Source organism: Homo sapiens, chromosome X, assembly GCF_000001405.40.
Source record: "Homo sapiens chromosome X, GRCh38.p14 Primary Assembly".
NCBI lineage: Eukaryota > Metazoa > Chordata > Mammalia > Primates > Hominidae > Homo > Homo sapiens.
Window position 1 is genome coordinate 64,634,647 of NC_000023.11, and position 23,497 is coordinate 64,658,143.

The following is a 23,497-nucleotide window of genomic DNA, read 5'->3' on the forward strand; positions in this document are numbered from 1 at the left end:
TGAAGTTGCCTATCAGCTTAAGGAGATTTTGGGCTGAGATGATGGAGTTTTCTATATTTTCAATCATGTCATCTGCAAACAGGGACAATTTGACTTCCTCTTTTCCTAGTTGAATACCCTTTATTTCTTTCTCCTCCCTGATTGCCCTGCCCAGAACTTCCAACACTATGTTGAATAGGAGTGGTGGGAGAGGGCATCCCTGTGTTGTGCCAGTTTTCAAAGGGAATGCTTCTAGTTTTTGCCCATTCAGTATGATATTGGCTGTGGGTTTTTCATAGGTAGCTCATATTATTTTGAGTTACATCCCATCAACACCTAATTTATTGAGAGTTTTTAGCATGAAGGGTTGTTGGATTTTGTCAAAGGCCTTTTCTGCATCTATGGAGATAATCATGTGGTTTTTGTCATTGGTTCTGTTTACATGTCAGATTAGATTTATTGATTTGCGTATGTTGAACCAGCCTTGCATCCCAGGGATGAAGCCCACTTGATCATGGTGGATAAGCTTTTTGATGTGCTGCTGGTTTCAGTTCTGCAGTATTTTATTGAGGATTTTTGCATCGATGTTCATCAGGGTTATTGGTCTAAAATTATCTTTTTTTGTTGTGTCTCTGCCAGGCTTTGGTTGAATCTCTGAATACACCAATAACAGGCTCTGAAATTGAGGCAATAATTAACAGCTTACCAACCAATAAAAGTCCAGGACAAGATGCATTCACAGCCGAATTCTACCAGAGATACAAGGAGGAGCTGGTACCATTCCTTCTGAAACTATTCCAATCAATAGAAAGAGGGAATCCTCACTAACTCATTTTATGAGGCCAGCATCATCCTGATACTAAAGCCTGGCAGAGACACAATAAGGCCACTAACTCTTAGATTTTCCCTTTGGGGACTATTTTTTAGCTTTTGTGGGAGTGCTTTATTTTTAAAATATGTTTGTACTTTGTCTTCTCAGACTGTGTTTGTTTTCAAGTAACTTGTTTTCAAGTTCTCTAATTTTTTTGTTTGATAAATTATGCTTTTATGAGACTCCGATGTATTCTTCAGTATGTCAGTTGCATTCATCAACTCCAGAATTTCTGTTTGGTTCTTTATAATTATTTAAGTCTCCTCAGTCTACCTGACAGAATTCTGAATTCTTTCTCCGTGTTGTCTTTAATTTCCTCTAGTTTCCTCAAAACAGTTATTTTATGTTCTCTATCTGAAATGTTACATATCTTCGTCTCTCCAAGATTAGTTCTTGGTGATTTATTTAGTTTGTTTGGTGAAGTTACGTTTTCCCGGGTAGTCTAAATGCTTGTGAATGTGTGTTGGTTTCTGAGTATTGAAGGTTTAGGTATTCATTGTAGCCTTTGCTGTCTCAGATTGGTTTTTCCCAGCCTTCTTATGACGCCTTTTCAGATATTTGATGGAACTCAGGTGTTTTGATCTAAGTTTTCAGTAACTGTAGTCGTATCTGCATTTGTTAGTAACCCAAGCTCAGTAATCATGTGGCACTTGCAGACTTGTAGAGACCTACTCGGTGGTCTTGGATAGAATCCAGATTTCTCTGGATTACCAGGCAGGGGCTCTTGTTCTCTTTCCTTATGTTATCCCAAAGAAACAGAGCCTCTCTTTCTGTTCTTAGGTATCTGGAGCTATGAGAGGGGTTACACAGGTACTCCTGTGGTCAACAAATGTGTATATGTTGAGTCAGGCCTGAAGCCAGCACATTATGCAGTTTTGCTCAAGGTCTGTGGTAATCACTACCTGGCTACTGCCTGTGATTGTTCAGGTCTGTGTAGTCAGCAGGTGGTGAATCTTGCCAGGACTGAGTCCTTTCATTCATTGCAACAGGTTCCATTCTGGTGAAGGGCATGTTTATAAATGTGATCCAGGAGCTAGAGTGTGAAATGGGTTCCTCAAGACTCTGCATGATATTCTATCCTACTATAGCTGAGCTGGTTTCCAAGTTGGAAGAAAATGTTCTTTTTACTCTTCCCTCTCTTCTCCTCAGGTGGCAGGGTGGCAGAAGGAGTTTCTCCTATAATGGTTAACTTTGTTGTCTGAGGTTGGAAGAAAAGTGGTGTAAGCACTCTCTTGTCCACTCCAGCTTGTGTTTCACTGGGTTGTGTGTCCCCCAAGTCCACTCACTCTGAGGCCAACAAAGCAACATGACTTGCCCCGATATTTCAGTCCTTGTAGCCTAGACTGCCTTTCAAGTTTATTTTAAACCCCAGAGCACTATAGCCCAAAGTTGTAATGCTTTCTGGAATTCAGGTTACAACTAGTGGGATGGGTGATTCCCCTCTGGCTCTGGCTGGTTAAAACGCTCCCTTCATGGGCACCAGTTGATTTCTGCCCCATGTTGCTTTCTATTGTGACAGGAAAACACTGAGTTCCAGTGCATGGTTCCACTGTGATTCCTCTCCCTAAATTACACAGATTCTCTCTGATTGCCACATGGCCACTGTCAAGGGATGAGGGATGGATAGCATTAGCAATTCAAGATGGCCTTTTCTATCCTCTTTAGTGCCTCTTTTAGTGATACAAATTTAAAACTAGGTACTGTGATTGTTCATCTGAGTTTTGGTTTTAATAAATGTGCTGTTTTATGTGAATAGTTGCTGAATTAGTTTTTCTTGCAGGGAGGAAGATCGGTGAAAACTTCTATTAACTCATCTTGCTCCACATCCCACTGATTTAATCAGTTTTTTTTATGGCTGCATTGTATTTCATGTTGTGTGTATGCCACACTATTTTTATCCAATCATACATTGAAGAAGAGTTAGGTTGATTACATGACTATCTTATTGTGAATAACATTGTGATAAACATGAGTTCAGGTGTATTTTTTATGTAATAATTTTTTTTTCTTTTGGATAGATGTCCAGTACTGACACTGCTAGGTGAAATGGTAGTTCTATGTTTAGTTCTTTGAGACATCTCCATAATTTTCCCATAGATGTTGTATTAATTTACATTCTCACCAACAGTGTGGGAAACAAAAGGTGATCTTTTCTTTGACACAAACATCTGTTCTTTTTTGATTTTTAAATAATACCCTTTCTCTCTGATATAAGATGATATATCATTTTTCTAACTATTAGTGATGTTGAGTATTTTTAGTAGGTTTCTTGCCCACTTGTATGTCTTATTTTTTAAAAAGTCTGTTCATGTTCTTTTCCCATTTTAAAATGGGATTTGTTTTCTTCTTGTTGAGTTTTTGAAGTTCATCATAGACTCTGGATATTAGTCCTTTGTCAGAGGCATAATTTGCAAATATTTTATCCCATTTTTTACATTGTCCATTTACCCTGTTGATTATTATTTTTTGCTGTGCGGAAGCTTCTTAGTTTGGTTAAGTTCCATTTGTCTATTTTTGCTTCTTTTGTATTTTCTTTTGGGGTCACGGACATAAATTCTTTGGCTAGACCAATATCCTAAAAAGTATTTCCTAGGTTTTCTTCTAGGACTTTATAGTTTTAAGTCTTAGATTTAGGTCTTTAATTCACCTTGAGTTAACTTTTGTATATGGTGAGAGATAGTGATCTAGTTTTATTCTTCTTCATATGGCTAGAAATTTTTTCCAGCACCATTTAATAAAATATGAGTTTTTCCCGTTTAGTTTTGTCAACCTTGTCAAAGATCAGTTGGTTGTAGGTATGCAACTTTATTTCTGGGTTCTCTGTTCTTGATCTATGTGTCTATTTTTGGACCAGCACCATACGATTTAAGTCACTGTTGCTTTCTAGTATTATTTGAAGTCAGGTAATGTAATTACTCCAACTATTTTCTTTTTGCTTATGGTTGCTTTGGCTATTCAGGCTCTTTTTTGGTTTCTTATGAATTTTGTGATTGTTTCTTCTAATTCTGTAAAAAACGACATTAGTCTTTTTGATAGATATTTTGTTGAACCCGTAGATTGCTTTGGGCAGTATGGACATTTTATATTGATTCTTTCAATCCATAAGCATGAAATGTTTTTCCATTTGTTTGTGTCATCTATGGTTTCGTTCATTAGTGTTTTGTAGTTCTCCTTGTAGGAGTTTTCACCTCTGTATTAGTCCATTTTTTACACTGCTGATAAAGACCTACCTGAGACTGGTTAATTTATAAAGGAAAAAAGGGTGAAAAGGACTTTTCTGCATGGCTGGGGAGGCCTCATAATCATGGTGGAATGCAAGGAGGGGTAAGTCACATTTTACATGAATGGCAGCAGGTAAAAAGAGCTTGTGCAGGGAAACTCCTTCTTATAAAACCATCAGGTCTCCTGAGATGTTATTCACTATCATGAGAACAGCATGGGAAAGACCTGTCCCTATGATTCAATTACCTGTCACTGGATCCCTCCCACAATACATGGGAATTCAAGATGAGATTTTGGTGGGGACACAGCCAAACCATATCAACCTCTTTGGTTAAATATATTCCTACCTATTTTATTCTTTTGTGTGGCTCTCATAAATAGGTTTGAGTTCTTCATTATTTCTCAGCCTGTATACTGTTGGTGTATGAAAATTCTATTTTTTTTACATTGATTGTGTGTCCTAAAACTTTATTGAGGTCAGTCATCCAGTCTAGGAGTGTTTTGAAAAAGTCTGTAGAATTTTCTAGGTATAAGATCATGCCATAAGCAAACAGAGCTAATTTGACTTTCTTTTTTCTTTTTTCTTTTTTTCAATTTGGATGACTTTTATTTTTTTCTCTTGCTTGAGATTTTGAGTTCCATGTTGAAAAGGAGTGGTGAATGTCTTTTGAGGCATGTTCCTTCAATGTCTAGTTTATTAAGGGTTTTTTATCATGAGGGAATGTTGGAATTTATTAAATACTTTTAGTGTATCTTTTTAGATGCTCATAATGTTTTTCTTTCTAATTCTTTTTATGTGGTGAATCACTTTCATTGATTTGCAAATGTGCAAATGTATTTTCATTCCTGGAATAAATTACCCTTCATCATGATAAATTATCTTTTTGATGTGCTGATGGATGGTTTGCTAATATTTTGTTTAGGATTTTTTGTTCACATTCATCAAAGCTATTATCCTGTAGCTTCCTTTCTTTGTGATGTCCTTGCATGATTTTTGTATCAGGTTGATACAGTTTTGAAGAATGGATTAGTGGGGAATGTCTCCTCCTTGATTATTTGAAATAGTTTTAGTAAGATTGGTACTCGCTTTTCTTTATATCTGGTAAAATTTGCCTGTAAATTTATCTGGCCATGGGCTTATTTTATGTTGTAAGATTTTTTAAAATTACCAATTCACATTCAATACTTATTGGTTTGTTCATGATTTCTATTTCTTCCTGATTCAGTCTTGGGAGGTTGTATGTTTCCAAAAATTTATCTATTTCCCCTGGGTTTTCTAGTTTGTGCACAGAGATGTTTACAGTAATCTCTGATGATCTTTTGTATTTATGTGATATCTGTTGTCATGTCACCTTTATTGTATCTAATTGTGCTTTATAAAATTTTCTTACTCTTTTTTCTTGGTTAAACTAGCTAACAGTCTATTGATTTTGTTTATCCTCTAAAAATCTAATTGTTTTTAATCCATTTTTTTGGTCTTAATTTTATTTAGTTCTGTTCTTATATTTTTTTTATTTTTTCCTTTATGTTAGCTTTTGTTTTGACTTGTTCTTGCTTTTATAGTTCTTTGAGGTGTAGTGTTAGGTTGTTAATGTGAGATCTTTCTATCTTTTTGATGTAAGCATTTAATACTATAAAATTTCCTCTTAGTACTGCTTTCACTATATCCCAGACATCTTGGTATATTGTATTTGTAATTTATTTGTTTCAAAAAATTTTTTTGATTCCTACCTTAATTTCATTGTTTTCTCAAAAGTCATTCAAGAGGAATTTGTCTAGTTTCTATGTACTTGTTTCATTCTGAGAGTTTCTTTTGGTATTGATTTCTATTTTTATTTTACTGTTTTCTGAGACAATATTTGGCTTTATTTTTTAATTGTTAGAGACTTACTCTGTGGACAAACATATGGTCAATATTACAGAATATTCTATGCAGAGTTGAGAAAAATGAACATTCAACAATTGTAGGGAAGAATGTTCTATACATGTCTATTAAGGACATTGGTGTAGAGTCCAGTTCAAGTCAAGAGTTTTTTGGTTGACTTTCTGCCTATCTTCTTTGTCTTTTTGAACCTGTTTAATCTGATATAAGCATGGCCACTGCCGCTTGCTTTTGTTTTTCATTTTGCTTTGAGTCTGTGGGCAACTTTATCCGTATGGTGGATCTTTTGTAGGCAAGAGAAGGTTGAATTTTTTTAAATCCAAATTACTAGTCTATATATTTTAAATGGAGCATTTAGGCCATTTACGTTCATGGTTAATATTGATTTGTGAGATCTTGTTCCTGTCACAGTTTTGTTAGGTAATTGCTTTAGAGTCTCAATTGTGTAATTGCTCACTAGAACGTGTGAGCTTTCTAGTTACATATATTTTTTATGATAGTAAATATTGTCCTTTTGTTTCCATGTTTGGAATTCTTTTGAGCAGTTCCTGTAGTATCAGTTTGGTGGTGACAAATTCCCTTAGTGTTTGGTGGTCTGGGAAATACTTTATTTCTCCTTCATTTATGAAACATAGTTTGGCAGGATATAAAATTTTTGGCTAATGTTTCTATTTCTTTTTTTAAAAGACAATCGAGATGGGGTCTTTCTGTGTTGCTCAGGCTGGTCTTAACTCCCAGGTTCAAGTGATCCTCCTACCATGGCCTCCCAATATGCTAAGATTACAGGCATGAGCCACCATGCCTAGCCTCTTTTTTCTTCAAAGAGGCTACAAATAGGCTCCCAATCTCTTCTGGCTTATAACATTTCTACTGAGAAATCTGCTGTTAGTCTGATAGAATTTGCTTTATAAGTAATTTGGCACTTCTCTCTAGCTCCTTTGAGCATTTGTTCTTGCATGACGACCTTGGAAAGTTTGATGACTCTATTTTTTGGTGATGCTCATCTTGTATAGTGTCTTCTGGATGTTCTCTGAATCTCTTGTATCTTGAGGTCTATGTCTCTAGAAAAAATGGAAAAATTTCCCTAAATTTTTTCTTTAAATATGCTTTCCAATATTCTTAGTTTTTATTCTCCCTCAGGGATGTATAGATATCATAGGTTTGGTTAATTTAAATAATCTCATATTTCTCAAGGGCTTTATTCAGGTTTTAAAATTATTTTTTCTTTTCCTTTTTTGTCTAGCTGAGTTAATTCAAAAGATCAGTCTCCGAGCTCTAAAATTTTTTCTTCTGCTTGGTTTATTCTGTTGCTAAAGCTTTCAACTGTGTTTTAAAATTTTTTCAGTAAATATTCTATTTCCAGAAATTCTGCTCAGTAAAAAAAAACTCTCCTAAATTATTATTTCTTGTTTATTTGTATTGGTGTTAAATTTTCTTTTGTTATTAAGCCTTCTTACTCTCCATTTATTCATTTATTGAAGTCATTGCACTTCCTTATGCACTATTTTTTGAATTCTTTATCTGTCATTTCAAAATTTTTGTTTAGGATTCATTGCTAGAGAACTAGTGTGATAATTTGGGGATGTCGTAACTCTCTGTTTCTTCATGTTGCAGGATTTCTTGTACCGGTTTTTTCTTACCTATAGAAAGTTCAGTTCTTATTTTTGTATTTACTTTTCTGAGGGTGGAATTGTTTTATTTCCCCCTTGAGAATGTGACTGTTGTCCATTTTAGGTACCATCTTTTAGGTTTTCTTATATGTGCTTTTATTAGGCCAAGGCTCTGTATGAATTCCTTGGTTATGGATAGACTTAATGTTGTAGTGGTGGTCTCTCAAATGACAGTTGTGTGTAGATTTTAGTAGTGGTGTGTTGTGTGTGGTTAGGCTCACTGTCTCCTACAGAGATGGGAAGATATAGGTCTTAGGAGGCTTATATTATTTCCCATTGCCTTGTGTTTCTGTCAGCAGGAATTATATTGGATTGTGCAGTTCATTTTGCAGGCCTGACATTTTTAAGTATGACCCAGCTGAGCTCTGCACAATGATGTCAGCAGTTGTGAAGGGCCGCGCAGTTTGATTCTCTGGCCAGTAGGTGGCATTTGAATGTGAGAAGTAATTTCAGTAATGGCAGTGGGATTTTTACTTGGGCCTTGCTGATTGTAGAAGTACTGAAATGTTCCTGGCTATGAGTGGTCAGTAGCCCTCTCAAGACTTTGTTCCATGCTCTTCTTCCATGGTGGCTGGAGAGGGCAGAGCTGGGTGGAGTTAGGTTAAGTGAGCCCACAACAAGGCTCTCTAAGGTGGGTGCAAGAACTGACCATGGTTGGGGTCTATAGGCAACTCACAGGCAGTTTGGACAACACATCAGGGAGGGTTGGAATTATGTTCCTTCCATCACAGAGCCTACTCAGGAAAAAGTGGCAGCTTTGGGCTTTTAGCCCATTGGTCTACAATAGGACCTCTTCAGCATCCACACTCCTGACTCAGCAGGTGTTCCTCCAGCATCTGACAACAGGCCTGACTCATTATGCTATTGCCAAGCCATCCATGCCAAGACTGATGAGCCTTTTTACACATTCGAGACTGTGAGACTCCTTGTAGCAGAAACCTTGGCTATCTGGTCATAATCTTCCCAGTTCAGCCCTGCAAAGTGAAAGGCACCCAGCTCTTACACAGCCACACTCTTCTGAGCCACACTCTTCTCTGTTATCAGAAGGTGAGAGCTCCTCCTTCACTTAAAATCAGTCGACAAATCTTATTTCAATACCCCTGGGCAGTATGCTTGACCACTGGGGAACTGTGACCAGGCCATTGGATTTGTCCTCTTGCCCTTCAGAGTCAAGCATTAGCTGTAATGTGGGGGTAAACTGCTCCCAGCATACCAAAAAACCACTCAGGCAGGGCAATGGAGACTGTGCTGTGAATACTCCTATGTGGAAACAGCCAGGCAAGCAGCCTTGCAAGTAACCAACAGTTATGGGGGTACAAGATTCAGATGCATTTCAGTCCTATGTCAATGACAGTGGGGACTATCTTGGACATGTGAGTGTGCATGGGCTCTTTCTCCCTACTTGTCACATAGTAGGAGCTGTAGCTGCTTAGGGCAGGATACACAGTCTTGAGAGTTAGGCCTCCAGAGTTTCATTTTGCTGGTTTTGCTCAGCACATTGAAGTCTTTTGGGCTCCATATGTGTTCAGGCAATGCCTTTCTGTGTTCCTCACACAGCTTCCCTGCTAGTTCAAAGTTTTGTGGGGCTGATGGAAACTCCTACAGGTAGCATACCAGAAGTTCATGGTAAAAATGTGGTGTCCCAGGTTTCTTTACTCATCCTAGTTTTGGGTCTGGTCCAGGTCTTGGGGCCATTTTTCCTGGCAACACCAAGCTGGCAGCCCCACTTCCTTTATCTTCAATTACAGCATCTTCCAAAATTCCACCAAAAAGTTAGAACTAGTAAATAAATTCAGTAAAGTTGCAGGATGCAAATCAACATACAAAAATTAGTAGCATTTCTACATAGAAATGACAACTTAGCTGAAAAAATAATCAGAAAAATCCCACATATAATAGCATCAAAATTTTAAAATACAAAGGGATAAATTTTATTGAGGAGGTGAGATTTAAACAATGAAAACATAAAATGTTGAAAAATGAAAGAAGAAACAAATAAGTGGAAAAATATGAAAAATATTATATGCTCATGGATTGAAAGAATTAATATTGTTAATGTGTCCATACTACCCAAAGCTATATAGAAATTCAATGCAATTCTCACCAAAATTCTGGCAAAATTCTTCACAGAAACAGAAAAAAAAAATCCTAACGTTCACATGGAACCACAAAAGACCCCAAATAGTCAAAGTAATATGGAGAAAAAAAAAAGTTGGAGTGAGTATGCTTCCTGGATTAAAATTATATTACAAAGCTGTAGTAATTGAAACAGTGTAGTACTGGCATAAAAACAAAAACATGTAGAAATGAAACAGAATATGAAGCTAAGAAATAAATCTAAACTTAATACAGCCAATAATTTTTGGGAAGGGCACTAAGAATATAATGAGAAAAAAATGACCTCTTCAATAAATTGTGCTGAGAAAACAACACTTCCACATGCAAAAATAAAACAAAATAAAAGTTGATAAAAGGCATAAAGGCAATACCTGAAATCACAAAGTTTCTAGAAAGAAACATAGGAGAAATGCTCCCTAACATTGGTCATAACAATGAGTTTGTTGATATTACACTGGCTGCAAAAAAGAAAAAATAAATAAATGGTACTACATCAAACTAAAATGCTACTGCACTGCAAAGGATACAATCAATAAAATGAAAAGACAACCTATACATTGGGAAAACATTTGCAAACCACTTGTCTGATAAGGGATTAATAGCCAAAATTTATAAAGAACTCTTCCAATATAATAGCAGAAAAACAAATAACCCAAATAAAGCAAGGACAAATGACCTAAACTGACATTATTTTTTCAAAGAAAATATAAAAACGTTCAGCAGCTATATAAGAAGTTGCTCAACATCCCTAATCACTAGTTACATGCAAGTTAAAAACATTGCAATATCACTTCACACCTGACAGAATGGCTATTATTGAAAAGTCAAGAGATAACAAATGTTGGCAATGGTGTGGAGAAAAGGAAACCCCACTATACTGTTTGTGGAAATTTAAATTGGTGCAGTCATTACGGAAAACAGTATGGAGGCCCCTGAAAAATGTTAAAATAGAAATATCATATAATCCAGCAATATTTCTGGTTGTATTTCTACAGGAGTTGAAGTAATTAACTTTTGTGAGAAGTATCTGCGCTCCCATGTTTACTGTGGCATTATTCACAATAGCCAAAATATGGAAACACCTAATCATCTGTTGTTGGTGGATGAATTGATAAACCCAATGAGGTATATATACAAAATAAAATACTATTCACCCTTAAATATGAAGAAAATCCTGTCACTTGCAAGACATGGATAAGTCTGTAGGATATTATGTTAAGTAAAATAAACCAGAAAGAGAAGAAAAAATATCTCATTATGTCACACACAGATAAAATTTAAAAGAAAAACAACAAACAGACAAAGATAGAGAATAAAACAGTGGTTATCAAGGGGCTGGTAAAGAAGGAAATGGGGAGATGTAAGGGAAAAAATTCTAAAGTGCAGACATGTAGGATCAACAAGTCCAGAGATCTAATGTACATTACGAGGAATATAGTTAGCAAACTTTTATTGTGTTCTATAAAAAAAAAATAATGAGTTGTCTAAAAAAATCAAGAAAACCATCTTATATGGTTTGGTTCTGTGTCCCCACCGAAATGTTACATTGAATTATAGTTTCCAATGTTTGGGGACCTGGTAGCAGGTGATTGGATCAAAGGGGATAGATTTTTCCCTTGCTGTTCTGGTGACAGTGAGTTCTCACAAGATATGATGATTTAAAAGTCTGTGGCAATTCCCCCTTTTTTCTCTCTCTCTCTCCCTCTCTTTTCTGTTGCCATGTTACATGCTTGATTTCCCTTCATCTTCTGCTATTATTGTAAGTTTCCTGAGGCCTCCCAAGCCATGCCTCCTGTACAGCCTGCAGAACTATGAGTCAATTAAACATCTTTTCTTTATAAACTACCCAGTATCATTGGTCCTTTATAGCAATGTAAGAATAGAAAAATACAAAAAAAAATGGTGTCAGAGAAGTGAGGCATTTCTATAAAGATACCTGAAAATGTGGAAGCAGCTTTGGAACTAGGTAATAAGCAGAAGTAGGAACAGTTTTGAGGGCTCAGAAGAAGACAGGAAGATTGGGAAAAGTTTTAAACTTCCTAGATACTTGTTGAATTATTGACCAAAATGTTGATAGTAATATGGGCAATGGATTCCAGGAAGAAGTGGTGTCAGATGGAGATGAGAAACTTATTGGGAACTAGAGTAAGGGTCACTCTTGCTATGCTTTACCAAAGAGACTGGCAGCATTGTGCCCCTTTTCTAGAGATCTGTGGAGCTTTGAACTTGCAAGAAATGAATTAGTGTATCTGGCAGGAAAAAAACTCTAAGCAACAAATCATACAAGTTATAACCTGGCTGCTTCTCACAGCCTACGTCACATGCATGGGCAAATAAATGATGTAAAACTGGAACTTAAAGAGTAAGTATAGTGTAAAAGTTTGGAAAATTTGCAGCCTGACTATGTGTGGGGAAGAAACATTTTCCAAGGAGAAATTCAAACTGGCTGCAGAAATTTGCATAAGTAAAGGGGAGACAAATGCTAATAGCCAAGACAATGGTGAAAATGCCTCCAATGTATTTTAGAGATCTTAGCAGCTGCCTCTCTTTTCACAGGCCTGGGTTTATGGGGAAGAATGGTTTCATGTGCCAGGCCCAGGGCCCTGCTGTTCTGTGCAGCCTTGGGACATAACACCCTGTGTCCCAGCCACTCCAGATTTAGCCATGGCTAAAAGGGACCAACGTACAGCTTGGGCCATTGTTTCAGGGGGCATAAGCCCCAATGCTTGGCAACACCCATGTGATGTTGGGCCTGTAGGTGCACAGAAGGCATGATTTGAGGTTTGGGAGCCTCCACCTAGATTTCAAATGATGTATAGAAATGCCTGGATATCAAGGCAGAAGTCTTCTGCAGAGACAGAGCCTTAATGGAGAGCCTCTACTAGCAAAGTGCAGAGGGGAAATGTGGGGTTGGAGACCCCACTCAGAGTACCTATGGGGGCACTGCCTGTTGGAGCAGTGAGGAGAGGGCCATCGTTCTCCAGCCTCCAGAATGGTAGATTCATCAACAGCTTGCACCATGAACCTGGAAAAGCTGCAGGCACTCAACGCCAGCCTGAGAAAGCAGCCACGGGGGCTTTACCATGCAGAGACACAGGGCCAAAGCTGCCAAAGGCCTTGGGAGCTCAACCCTCGTATCATTGTGGCCTGGATGTGAGACATGGAATCAAAGGAAATTATTCTGGAGCATTAAGATTTAGTGACTGCCCTGCTTGGTTTTAGACTTGCATAGGGCCTATAGCCTCTTTGTTTTGGCCAATTTATGCCATTTGGAATGAGAATATTTACCCAATGCCTGAACCCTTATTGTATGTTGGAAGTAACTAACTTGTTTTTGATTTTACAGGCTCATAGGCAGAACGAACTTGCCTTGTCTCAGATGAGACTTTGGACATGAATTTTTGAGTTAATGCTGGAATGAGTTAATACTTTGGGGAGTGTCAGGAAGGCATGACTGTGTTTTGAAATGTGAGGAGGACATGATGTTTGAGAGGGGCCAAGCGTGGGATAATATGGTTTTGCTCTGTGTCCCCACCCAAATCTCATGTCAAATTGTAATTTCCAATGGTGGGTGTGGGACCTGGTGAGAGGTGATTAAATCATGGGGGTGGATTTTTCTATTGCTGTTCTGGTGATAGTGAGTGAGTTCTCATGATATCTGATAGTTTAAATATCTGTGGTACTTCCCCATCCACCACTCTGTTGTCACCATGTGGCAATGTGCTTGCTTCCCCTTCACCTTCTGCCATGATTGTAAATTTCCTGAGGCCTCCTCAGCCATGTCTCCTGTATAGCCTGCAGAACTGTGAGGCAATTAAGCCTCTTTTCTTTATAAACTACTCAGTCTCAGGTAGTTTGTTATACTAATGTGAGAACAGACTAATACACCATTCCATTATTATAGCAACAAAAAATAAAATAAACTTAACAAAGAAAGTAAACAATTTGTGTACTGAAAACTATATAATATTGATAAAATAAATTGAAGAAGACACAAATAAATGGAAAAATATCTTGTGTTCATGAATTGGAAAAATCAGTATTGTTCAAATGTACATACTCTCCAAAGTGATATACAGATCCAATTCAGTCTTGCCCAAAATTCCAATGGCATGTTTCACAAAAATAGAAAAGTAAATTCTACAATCCTTATGGAACCATAAAAATCCCTGCATAGCCAAAGCAATACAGAAAGAAAAACGAAGTTGGAAATATCATGCTACCTGACTTAGAAGTATACTACAAAACTATAGTAATCAAAATGGTATGTTACTGTCATGAAAACAGACACATTGACAAATGAAACAGAATAGAACCCCTAGAAATAAATCCAAGCATATATGGTAAACTAAGTTTTGATAGTGACATCAAGAATACACAACGGAGAAAAAATAGTCCTTCTAGTACATTGTTTTGAAAAAACTGCTTACAAAAAAGTAATAGAATAAAATTCGCCCTAACTTCACCTCATACAAAAATCAATTCAAAATATATTAGAGGCCTAAACATAAAATCTAAAATAGTAAGACTCCTAAAAAATAGGAAACAGCTCTGACAAAATTTTTTGGCAAGAATTTTTTTAATACACAAATAAAAGCACAGACAACAAAAGGAAAAATAAACAATGGAGACTACTTCAAACTAAGACACTTCCAACCAACAAAGAAAGCAATCAATATAATGAAAAGGAAGTCTACGAATTGGGAGAAAACATTTGTGAACCATATGTCTGATAAGAGGAAAAGACGAAGTCAATTTGTCCCTGTTTGCAGATGTATATCTAGAAAACCCCATTGTCTCAGCCCAAAATCTCCTTAAGCTGATAAGCAACTTCAGCAAAGTCTCAGGATACAAAATCAATGTACAAAAATCACAAGCATTCTTATACACCAACAACAGACAAACAGAGAGCCAAATCATGAGTGAACTCCCATTCACAATTGCTTCAAAGAGAATAAAATACCTAGGAATCCAACTTACAAGGGATGTGAAGGACCTCTTCAAGGAGAACTACAAACCACTGCTCAACGAAATAAAAGAGCATACAAACAAATGGAAGAACATTCCATGCTCATGGGTAGGAAGAATCAATATCGTGAAAATGGCCATACTGCCCAAGGTAATTTACAGATTCAATGCCATCCCCATCAAGCTACCAATGACTTTCTTCACAGAATTGGAAAAAACTACTTTAAAGTTCATATGGAACCAAAAAAGAGCCCGCATTGCCAAGTCAATCTTAAGCCAAAAGAACAAAGCTGGAGGCATCACACTACCTGACTTCAAACTATACTACAAGGCTACAGTAACCAAAACAGCATGGTACTGGTACCAAAACAGAGATATAGATCAATGGAACAGAACAGAGCCCTCAGAAATAATGTCGCATATCTACAACTATCTGATCTTTGACAAACCTGAGAAAAACAAGCAATGGGGAAAGGATTCCCTATTTAATAAATGGTGCTGGGAAAACTGGCTAGCCATATGTAGAAAGCTGAAACTGGGTCCCTTCCTTACACCTTATACAAAAATCAATTCAAGATGGATTAAAGACTTAAACGTTAGACCTAAAACCATAAAAACCCTAGAAGAAAACCTAGGCATTACTATTCAGGACATAGGCATGGGCAAGGACTTCATGTCCAAAACACCAAAAGCAATGGCAACAAAAGACAAAATTGACAAATGGGATCTAATTCAACTAAAGAGCTTCTGCATAGCAAAAGAAACTACCATCAGAGTGAACAGGCAACCTACAAAATGGGAGAAAATTTTCTCAACCTACTCATCTGACAAAGGGCTAATATCCAGAATCTACAAAGAACTCAAACAAATTTACAAGAAAAAAACAAACAACCCCATCAAAAAGTGGGCGAAGGACATGAACAGACACTTCTCAAAAGAAGACATTTATGCAGCCAAAAAACACATGAAAAAATGCTCACCATCACTGTGCATCAGAGAAATGCAAATCAAAACCACAATGAGATACCATCTCACACCAGTTAGAATGATGATCATTAAAAATCAGGAAACAGCAGGTGCTGGAGAGGATGTGGACAAATAGGAACACTTTTACACTGTTGGTGGGACTGTAAACTAGTTCAACCATTGTGGAAGTCAGTGTGGCAATTCCTCAGGGATCTAGAATTAGAAATACCATTTGACCCAGCCATCCCAATCCTGGGTATATACCCAAATGACTATAAATCATGCTGCTATAAAGACACATGCACACGTATGTTTGTTGTGACATTATTCACAATAGCAAAGACTTGGAACCAACCCAAATGTCCAACAATGATAGACTGGATTAAGAAAATGTGGCACATATACACCATGGAATACTATGCAGCCATAAAAAATGATGAGTTCATGTCCTTTGTAGGGACATGGATGAAGCTGGAAACCATCATTCTCAGCAAACTATCACAAGGACAAAAAACCAAACACTGCATGTTCTCACTCATAGGTGGGAATTGAACAATGAGAACACATGGACACAGGAAGGGGAACATCACACACCGGGGTCTGTTGTGGGGTGGGGGTAGGGGGGAGGGATAGCATTAGGAGATATACCTAATGCTAAATGACGAGTTAATGCGTGCAGCACACCAACATGGCACATGTATATATATGTAACAAACCTGCACATTGTGCACATGTACCCTAAAACTTAAAGTATAATAATAATAATAAAGAAAAAGAACTTCAAAATGCCTAAGCCACACACGCCTAAGCTGCAGCAGTCAAGCATTCCTACAAGACTTCCTCCATCAGGATCTTGCTTCAAGTGCCAGAAATCTGGCCACTGGGCCAAGGAATGCCCGTAGCCCGGGATTCCTCCCAAGCCATGTCCCATCTGTGCAAGGACCCACTGGAAGGCAGACTGCCCAGCTCACCTGGTAGCCACTCCTAGAGCCCCTAGAGCTCTAGCCCAGGGCTCTCTGACTGACTCCTTCCCAGATCTGCTTGGCTTAGCAACTGAAGATTGACGCGCCTGATCACCTTGGAAGCCCCCTGGACCATCACAGATGCCGAGCTTCAGGTAACTCTCACATTGGAGGGTAAGTCCATCCCCTGTCTAATCGATACGGGGGCTACCCACTCCATGTTGCCTTCTTTTCAAGGGCCTGTTTCCCTCGCCCCGATAACTGTTGTGGGTATTGAAGGCCAAGCTTCAAAACCCCTGAAAACTCCCCCACTCTGGTGCCAACTTGGACAACACTCTTTTATGCACTCTTTTTTAGTTATCCCCACCTGCCCAGTTCCCTTATTAGGCTGAGATATTTTAACCAAATTATCTGCTTCCCTGACTATTCCTGGACTACAGCCACATCTCATTGCCACCCTTCTCCCCAACCCAAAGCCTCCTTTGCATCTTCCTCTCGTATCCCCCAACCTTAACCCACAAGTATGGGACATCTCTACTCCTTCCCTGGCAACCGATCACATGCTCATTACCATCCCATTAAAACCTAACCACCCTTACCCAGCTCGATGCCAATATCCCATCCCACAGCACGCTTTAAAAGTATTAAAGCCTGTTATCACTCTCCTGCTACAGCATGGGCTTCTAAAACCTATAAACTCTCCTTACAATTCCCCCATTTTACCTGTCCAAAAACCAGACAAGTCTTATGATTAGTTCAGGATCTGCACCTTATCAACAAAATTGTTTTGCCTATCCACCCTGTGGTGCCCAACCCGTACACTCTTTTGTCCTCAATACCTTCCTCCACAACTCACTATTCCATTCTTGATCTTAAAGATGCTTTTTTCACTATTCCCCTGCACCCCTCATCCCAGTCTCTCTTTGCTTTCACCTGGACTGACCCTGATACCCATCAGTCCCAGCAGCTTACCTGGGCAAGGTTTCAGGGACAGCCCTCATTGCTTCAGCCAAGCTCTTTCTCATGATTTACTTTCTTTCCACCCCTCCACTTCTCACCTTATTCAATATATTGATGACCTTCTTCTTCGTGGCCCCTCCTTTGAATCTTCTCAACAAGACACACTTCTGCTCCTTCAGCATTTATTCTCCAAAGGATATCGAGTATCCCCCTCCAAGCTCAAATTTCTTCTCCTTCCTTTACCTACCTTAGCATAATTCTTCATAAAAACACACATGCTCTCCCTGCTGATCGTGTCCGACTGATCTCTCAAACCCCAACCCCTTCTACAAAACAACAACTCCCTTCCTTCTTGGGCATGGTTGGATACTTTCACCTTTGGATACCTGGTTTTGCCATCCTAACAAAACCATTATGTAAACTCACAAAAGGAAACCTAGTGGACCCCATAGAGCCTAAATCCTTTCCCCACTCCTCTTTCCATTCCTTGAAGACAGCTTTAGAGACTGCCCCCACTCTAGCTCTCCCTAATTCATCCCAACCCTTTTCATTACACACAGCCAAAGTGCAGGGCTGTGCAGTCGGAATTCTTACACAAGGACCAGGATCGCGTCCTCTAGCCTTTTTGTCCAAACAACTTGACCTTACTGTTTTAGGCTGGCCATCATGTCTCTGTGCAGTGGCTGCTGCCACCCTAATAGTTTTAGAGGCCCTCAAAATCACAAACTATGCTCAACTCACTCTCTACAGCTCTCATAATTTCCAAAATCTATTTTCTTCCTCACACCTGACACATATACTTTCTGCTCCCTGGCTCCTTCAGCTATACTCACTCTTTGTTGAGTCTCCCACAATTACCATTGTTCCTGGCCCAGACTTCAATCCAGCCTCCCACATTATTCCGGATACCACACCTGACCCTCATGACTGCATCTCTCTGATCCACCTGACGTTCACCCCATTTCCCCACATTTCCTTCTTCCCTGTTTCACACCCTGATCACACTTGGTTTATTGATGGCAGTTCCACCAGGCCTAATCGCCACTCACCAGCAAAGGCAGGCTATGTTATAGTATCTTCCATATCTATCATTGAGGCTACCGCTCTTCCCCCTTCCACTACCTCTCAGCAAGCCGAACTAGTTGCCTTAACTCAAACCCTCACTCTTGCAAAAGGACTACGCATCAATATCTATACTGATTCTAAATATGCCTTTCATATTCTGCACCACCATGTGGTCATTATGGGCTGAAAGAGGTTTCCTCACTACACAAGCGTCCTCCATCATTAATGCCTCTTTAATAAAAACTCTGCTCAAGGCCGCTTTACTTACAAAGGAAGCTGGGTCATTCACTGCAAGGGGAATCAAAAGGCGTCAGATGCCATTGCTCTAGGCAACGCTTATGCTGATAAAGTGGCTAGACAAGCAGCTAGCTTTCCAACTTCTGTCTCTCACAGCAACGCTTATGCTGATAAGGTGGCTAGACAAGCAGCTAGCTCTACAACTTCTGTCCCTCACGGCCAGTTTTTCTCCTCCACATCGGTCACTCTCACCTACTCCCCCGCTGAAACTTCCACCTATCAATCTCTTCCCACACAAGGCAAATGGTTCTTAGACCAAGGAAAATATCTCCTTCCAGCCTCACAGGCCCATTCTATTCTGTCATCATTTCATAACCTCTTCCATGTGGGTTACAAGCCACTAGCCCGTCTCTTAGGACCTCTCATTTCCTTTCCATCATGGAAATCTATCCTCAAGGAGATCACTTCTCAGTGTTCCATCTGCTATTCTACTACCCCTCAGGGATTGTTCAGGCCTCCTCCCTTTCCTACACATCAAGCTCGGGGATTTGCCCCTGCCCAGGACTGGCAAATTGACTTTACTCACATGCCTGGAGTCAGAAAACTAAAATATCTCTTAGTCTGGGTAGACACTTTCACTGGTGGATAGAGGCCTTTCCCACAGGGTCTGAGAAGGCCACCGTGGTCATTTCTTCCCTTCTGTCAGACATAATTCCTCAGTTTGGCCTTCCCACCTCTATACAGTCTGATAACAGACCAGCCTTTACTAGTCAAATCACCCAAGCAGTTTCTTGGGCTCTTGGTATTCAGTGGAACCTTCATATCCCTTACCATCCTCAATCTTCAGGAAAGGTAGAACAGACGAATGGTCTTTTAAAGACACACCTCACCAAACTCAGCCTCCAACTTAAAAAGGATTGGACAGTAGTTTTACCTCTTGCCCTTCTCAGAATTAGAGCCTGCCCTCGAGATGCTACAGGGTACAGTCCATTTGAACTTTTATATGGACGCACTTTCTTGCTTGGCCCCAACCTCATCCCAGACACCAGCCCTGTAGGTGACTATCTTCCAGTCCTCCAACAGGCTAGACAGGAAATTCGCCAGGCTGCTAATCTTCTCTTGCCTACTCCAGATCCCCAGCCATATGAAGACACCCTAGCTGGACGATCAGTTCTTGTTAAGAATCTGACCCCTCAAACTCTACAACCTCAATGGACTGGACCCTACTTAGTCATCTATAGTACCCCGACTGCCATCCACCTGCAGGATCCTCCCCACTGGGTTCACCGTTCCAGAATAAAGCTGTGTCCATTGGACAGCCAGCCTAATCCCTTCTCTTCCTCCTGGAAGTCGCAAGTACTCTCCCCTACTTCCCTTAAACTCACTCGTATTTCTGAAGAACAGTAATAACCCTTACGAGCCTAATACATCCCTTCATTCTATTAGGTCTGTTCGTCCTTACCCTACTTTTTGCAATAGGGCTTTACGAAGTCACCCCCACCACTTAGGCCGAGCCCCAAAAAACTTGTCATCCCTACTATTTTCTGTCTAGTCATACTCCTATTCTCCATTCTCAACTACTTATAAATGTCCTACTCTTGTTTACACTGCTGGTTTACACTGTTTCTTCAAGCCATCACAGCTGATATCTCTTGGTGCTATCCCCAAACCACCACTCTCAATTCCCTCTTAGAGTGGATAGATGATCTTTGCTGGCAGGGCACCCTCCAATACTTCCACCTTGATGAAGTTCTATTCTTTACTTTTATACTCACTCATTCACATTCCCATTCTTATGCCACCCTCTACCTCTCCCCAGCTATCTCCACGACACTATCAACCTTACCCATTCTCTCCTAGCTGCTTCTAATCCCTCCTTAGTGAACAACTCCTGGCTTTGCATTTCCCTTTATTCCAGTGCCTACACAGCTGTCCCCGCCTTACAGACAGACTGGGCAATGTCTCCTGTCTCCTTACACCTCCAAACTTCCTTTAACAGCCCTCACCTTTACCCTCCTGAAGAACTCATTTACTTTCTAGACAGGTCCAGCAAGACTTCCCCAGACAATTCACATCAGCAAGCTGCCGCCCTCCTCCGCACTTATTTAAAAAAACCTTTCTCCTTATATTAACTCTACTCCCCCTATATTTGGACCTCTCACAACACAAACTACTATTCCTGTGGCTGCTCCTTTAGGTATCTCTTGGCAAAGACCCACTGGAATTCCCCTAGATAATTTTTCACCTTCTTGATGTTCCTTTACTCTTCATCTCCAAAGTCCAACTACACACATCACTGAAACAACTGGAGTCTTCCAGCTCCATATTACAGACAAGCCCTCTATCAATACTGACAAACTTAAAAATGTTAGCAGTAATTATTGCTTAGGAAAACATTTACCCTGTATTTCACTCCATCCTTGGCTACCTTCCCCTTGCTCATCAGACTCTCCTCGTAGGCCCTCTTCTTGTTTACTTATATCCAGCCCCGAAAATAACAGTGAAAGGTTGTTCATAGATACTCAACGTTTTCTCATACACCATGAAAATCGAACCTCCCCCTCCACACAGTTACCCCATCAGTCCCCATTACAACCTCTGACGGCTGCCGCCCTAGCTGCATCCCTAGGAGTCTGGGTACAAGACACCCCTTTCAGCACTCCTTCTCACCTTTTTACTTTGCATCTCCAGTTTTGCCTTGCACAAGGTCTTTTCTTCCTCTGTGGATCCTCTACCTACATGTGTCTACCTGCTAATTGGACAGGCACATGCACACTAGTTTTCCTTACCCCCAAAATTCAATTTGCAAATGGGGCTGAGGAGCTCCCTGTTCCCCTCATGACACTGACACAACAAAAAAGAGTTATTCCACTAATTCCATTGTTGGTCGGTTTAGGACTTTCTGCCTCCACTATTGCTCTCGGTACTGGAATAGCAGGCATTTCAACCTCTCTCACGACCTTCTGTAGCCTGTCTAATGACTTCTCTGCTAGCATCGCAGACATATCACAAGCTTTATCAGTCCTCCAGGCCCAAGTTGACTCTTTAGCTGCAGTTGTCCTCCAAAACCGCTGAGGCCTTGACTTACTCACTGCTGAAAAACAAGGACTCTGTATATTCTTAAATGAAGAGTGTTGTTTTTACCTAAATCAATCTGGCCTGGTGTATGACAACATAAAAAAACTCAAGGATAGAGCCCAAAAACTTGCCAACCAAGCAAGTAATTATGCTGAATCCCCTTGAGCACTCTCTAATTGGATGTCCTGGATCCTCCCAATTTTTAGTCCTTTAATACCCGTTTTTCTCCTTCTTTTGTTCGGACCTTGTATCTTCCGTTTAGTTTCTCAATTCATCCAAAACCGTATCCAGGCCATCACCAATCATTCTATATGACAAATGTTTCTTCTAACAACCCCACAATACCACCCCTTACCACAAGATCTCCCTTCAGCTTAATTTCTCCCACTCTAGGTTCCCACGCTGCCCCTAATCCCGCTTGAAGCAGCCCTGAGAAACATCGCCCATTCTCCCTCTCCATACCACCACCCAAAAATTTTCGCCAACCCAACACTTCAACACTGTTTTGTTTTATTTTTCTTATTAATATAAGAAGGCAGGAAAGTCAGGCCTCTGAGCCCAAGCCAAGCCATCGCATCCCCTGTGACTTGCACGGATATGCCCAGATGGCCTGAAGTAACTGAAGAATCACAAAAGAAGTGAAAATGCCCTGCCCCTCCTTAACTGATGACATTCCACCACAAAAGAAGTGTAAATGGCCGGTCCTTGCCTTAACTGATGACATTCCACCACAAAAGAAGTGAAAATAGCCGGTTCTTGCCTTAAGTGATGACATTACCTTGTGAAAGTCCTTTTCCTGTCTCATCCTGGCTCATAAAACTCCCCCACTGAGCACCTTGCGACCCCACTCCTGCCTGCCAGAGAACAAACCCCCTTTGACTGTAATTTTCCTTTACCTACCCAAATCTTATAAAACCACCCCACCTCTATCTCCCTTCGCTGACTCTCTTTTCGGACTCAGCCCGCCTGCACCCAGGTGATTAAAAGCTTTATTGCTCACACAAAGCCTGTTTGGCAGTCTCTTTGCACAGATGCGCATGAAAATTTGCATATGTTGAACAAGCCTTTTATTGCAGGGATGAAGCCAACTTGATCGTGGTGGATAAGCTTTTTGATGTGCTGCTGGATTTTGTTTGCCAATATTTTACTGAGGATTTTGGCATCAATGTTCATCAGGGATATTGGCCTGAAATTTTCTTTTTTTATTGTGTCTCTGCCAGGTTTCGGTGTCAGGAAGATGCTTGTCTCATAAAATGAGTTAGGGAGGATTCTCTCTCTGTTGTTTGGAATAGTTTTAGAAGGAATAGTATCAGCTCCTCTTTGTGCCTCTGGTAGAATTTGGCTGTGATTCCATCTGATCCTGGACTTTTTTTGGTTGGTAGGCTATTAATTACTGCCTCAATTTCAGAACCTTTATGGGCCTATTTAGGGATTTGACTTCTTTCTGGTTTAGGCTTGGAAGGGTGTGTGTGTCCAGCAATATATCCATTTCATCTAGATTTTCTAGTTTATTTGTGTA

The 23,497-nt window shown here is 39.8% G+C and overlaps 1 annotated feature.

The window, feature by feature from the left end:
* Nucleotides 22,493-23,268: an enhancer, noted in NCBI's record as "OCT4-NANOG-H3K27ac hESC enhancer chrX:63877019-63877794 (GRCh37/hg19 assembly coordinates)". NCBI's record gives its function as "activates a minimal SCP1, AML or CMV promoter by ChIP-STARR-seq in primed H9 embryonic stem cells {active_cell/tissue: H9 hESC(primed)}" and the evidence as "EXISTENCE:reporter gene assay evidence [ECO:0000049][PMID:30033119]".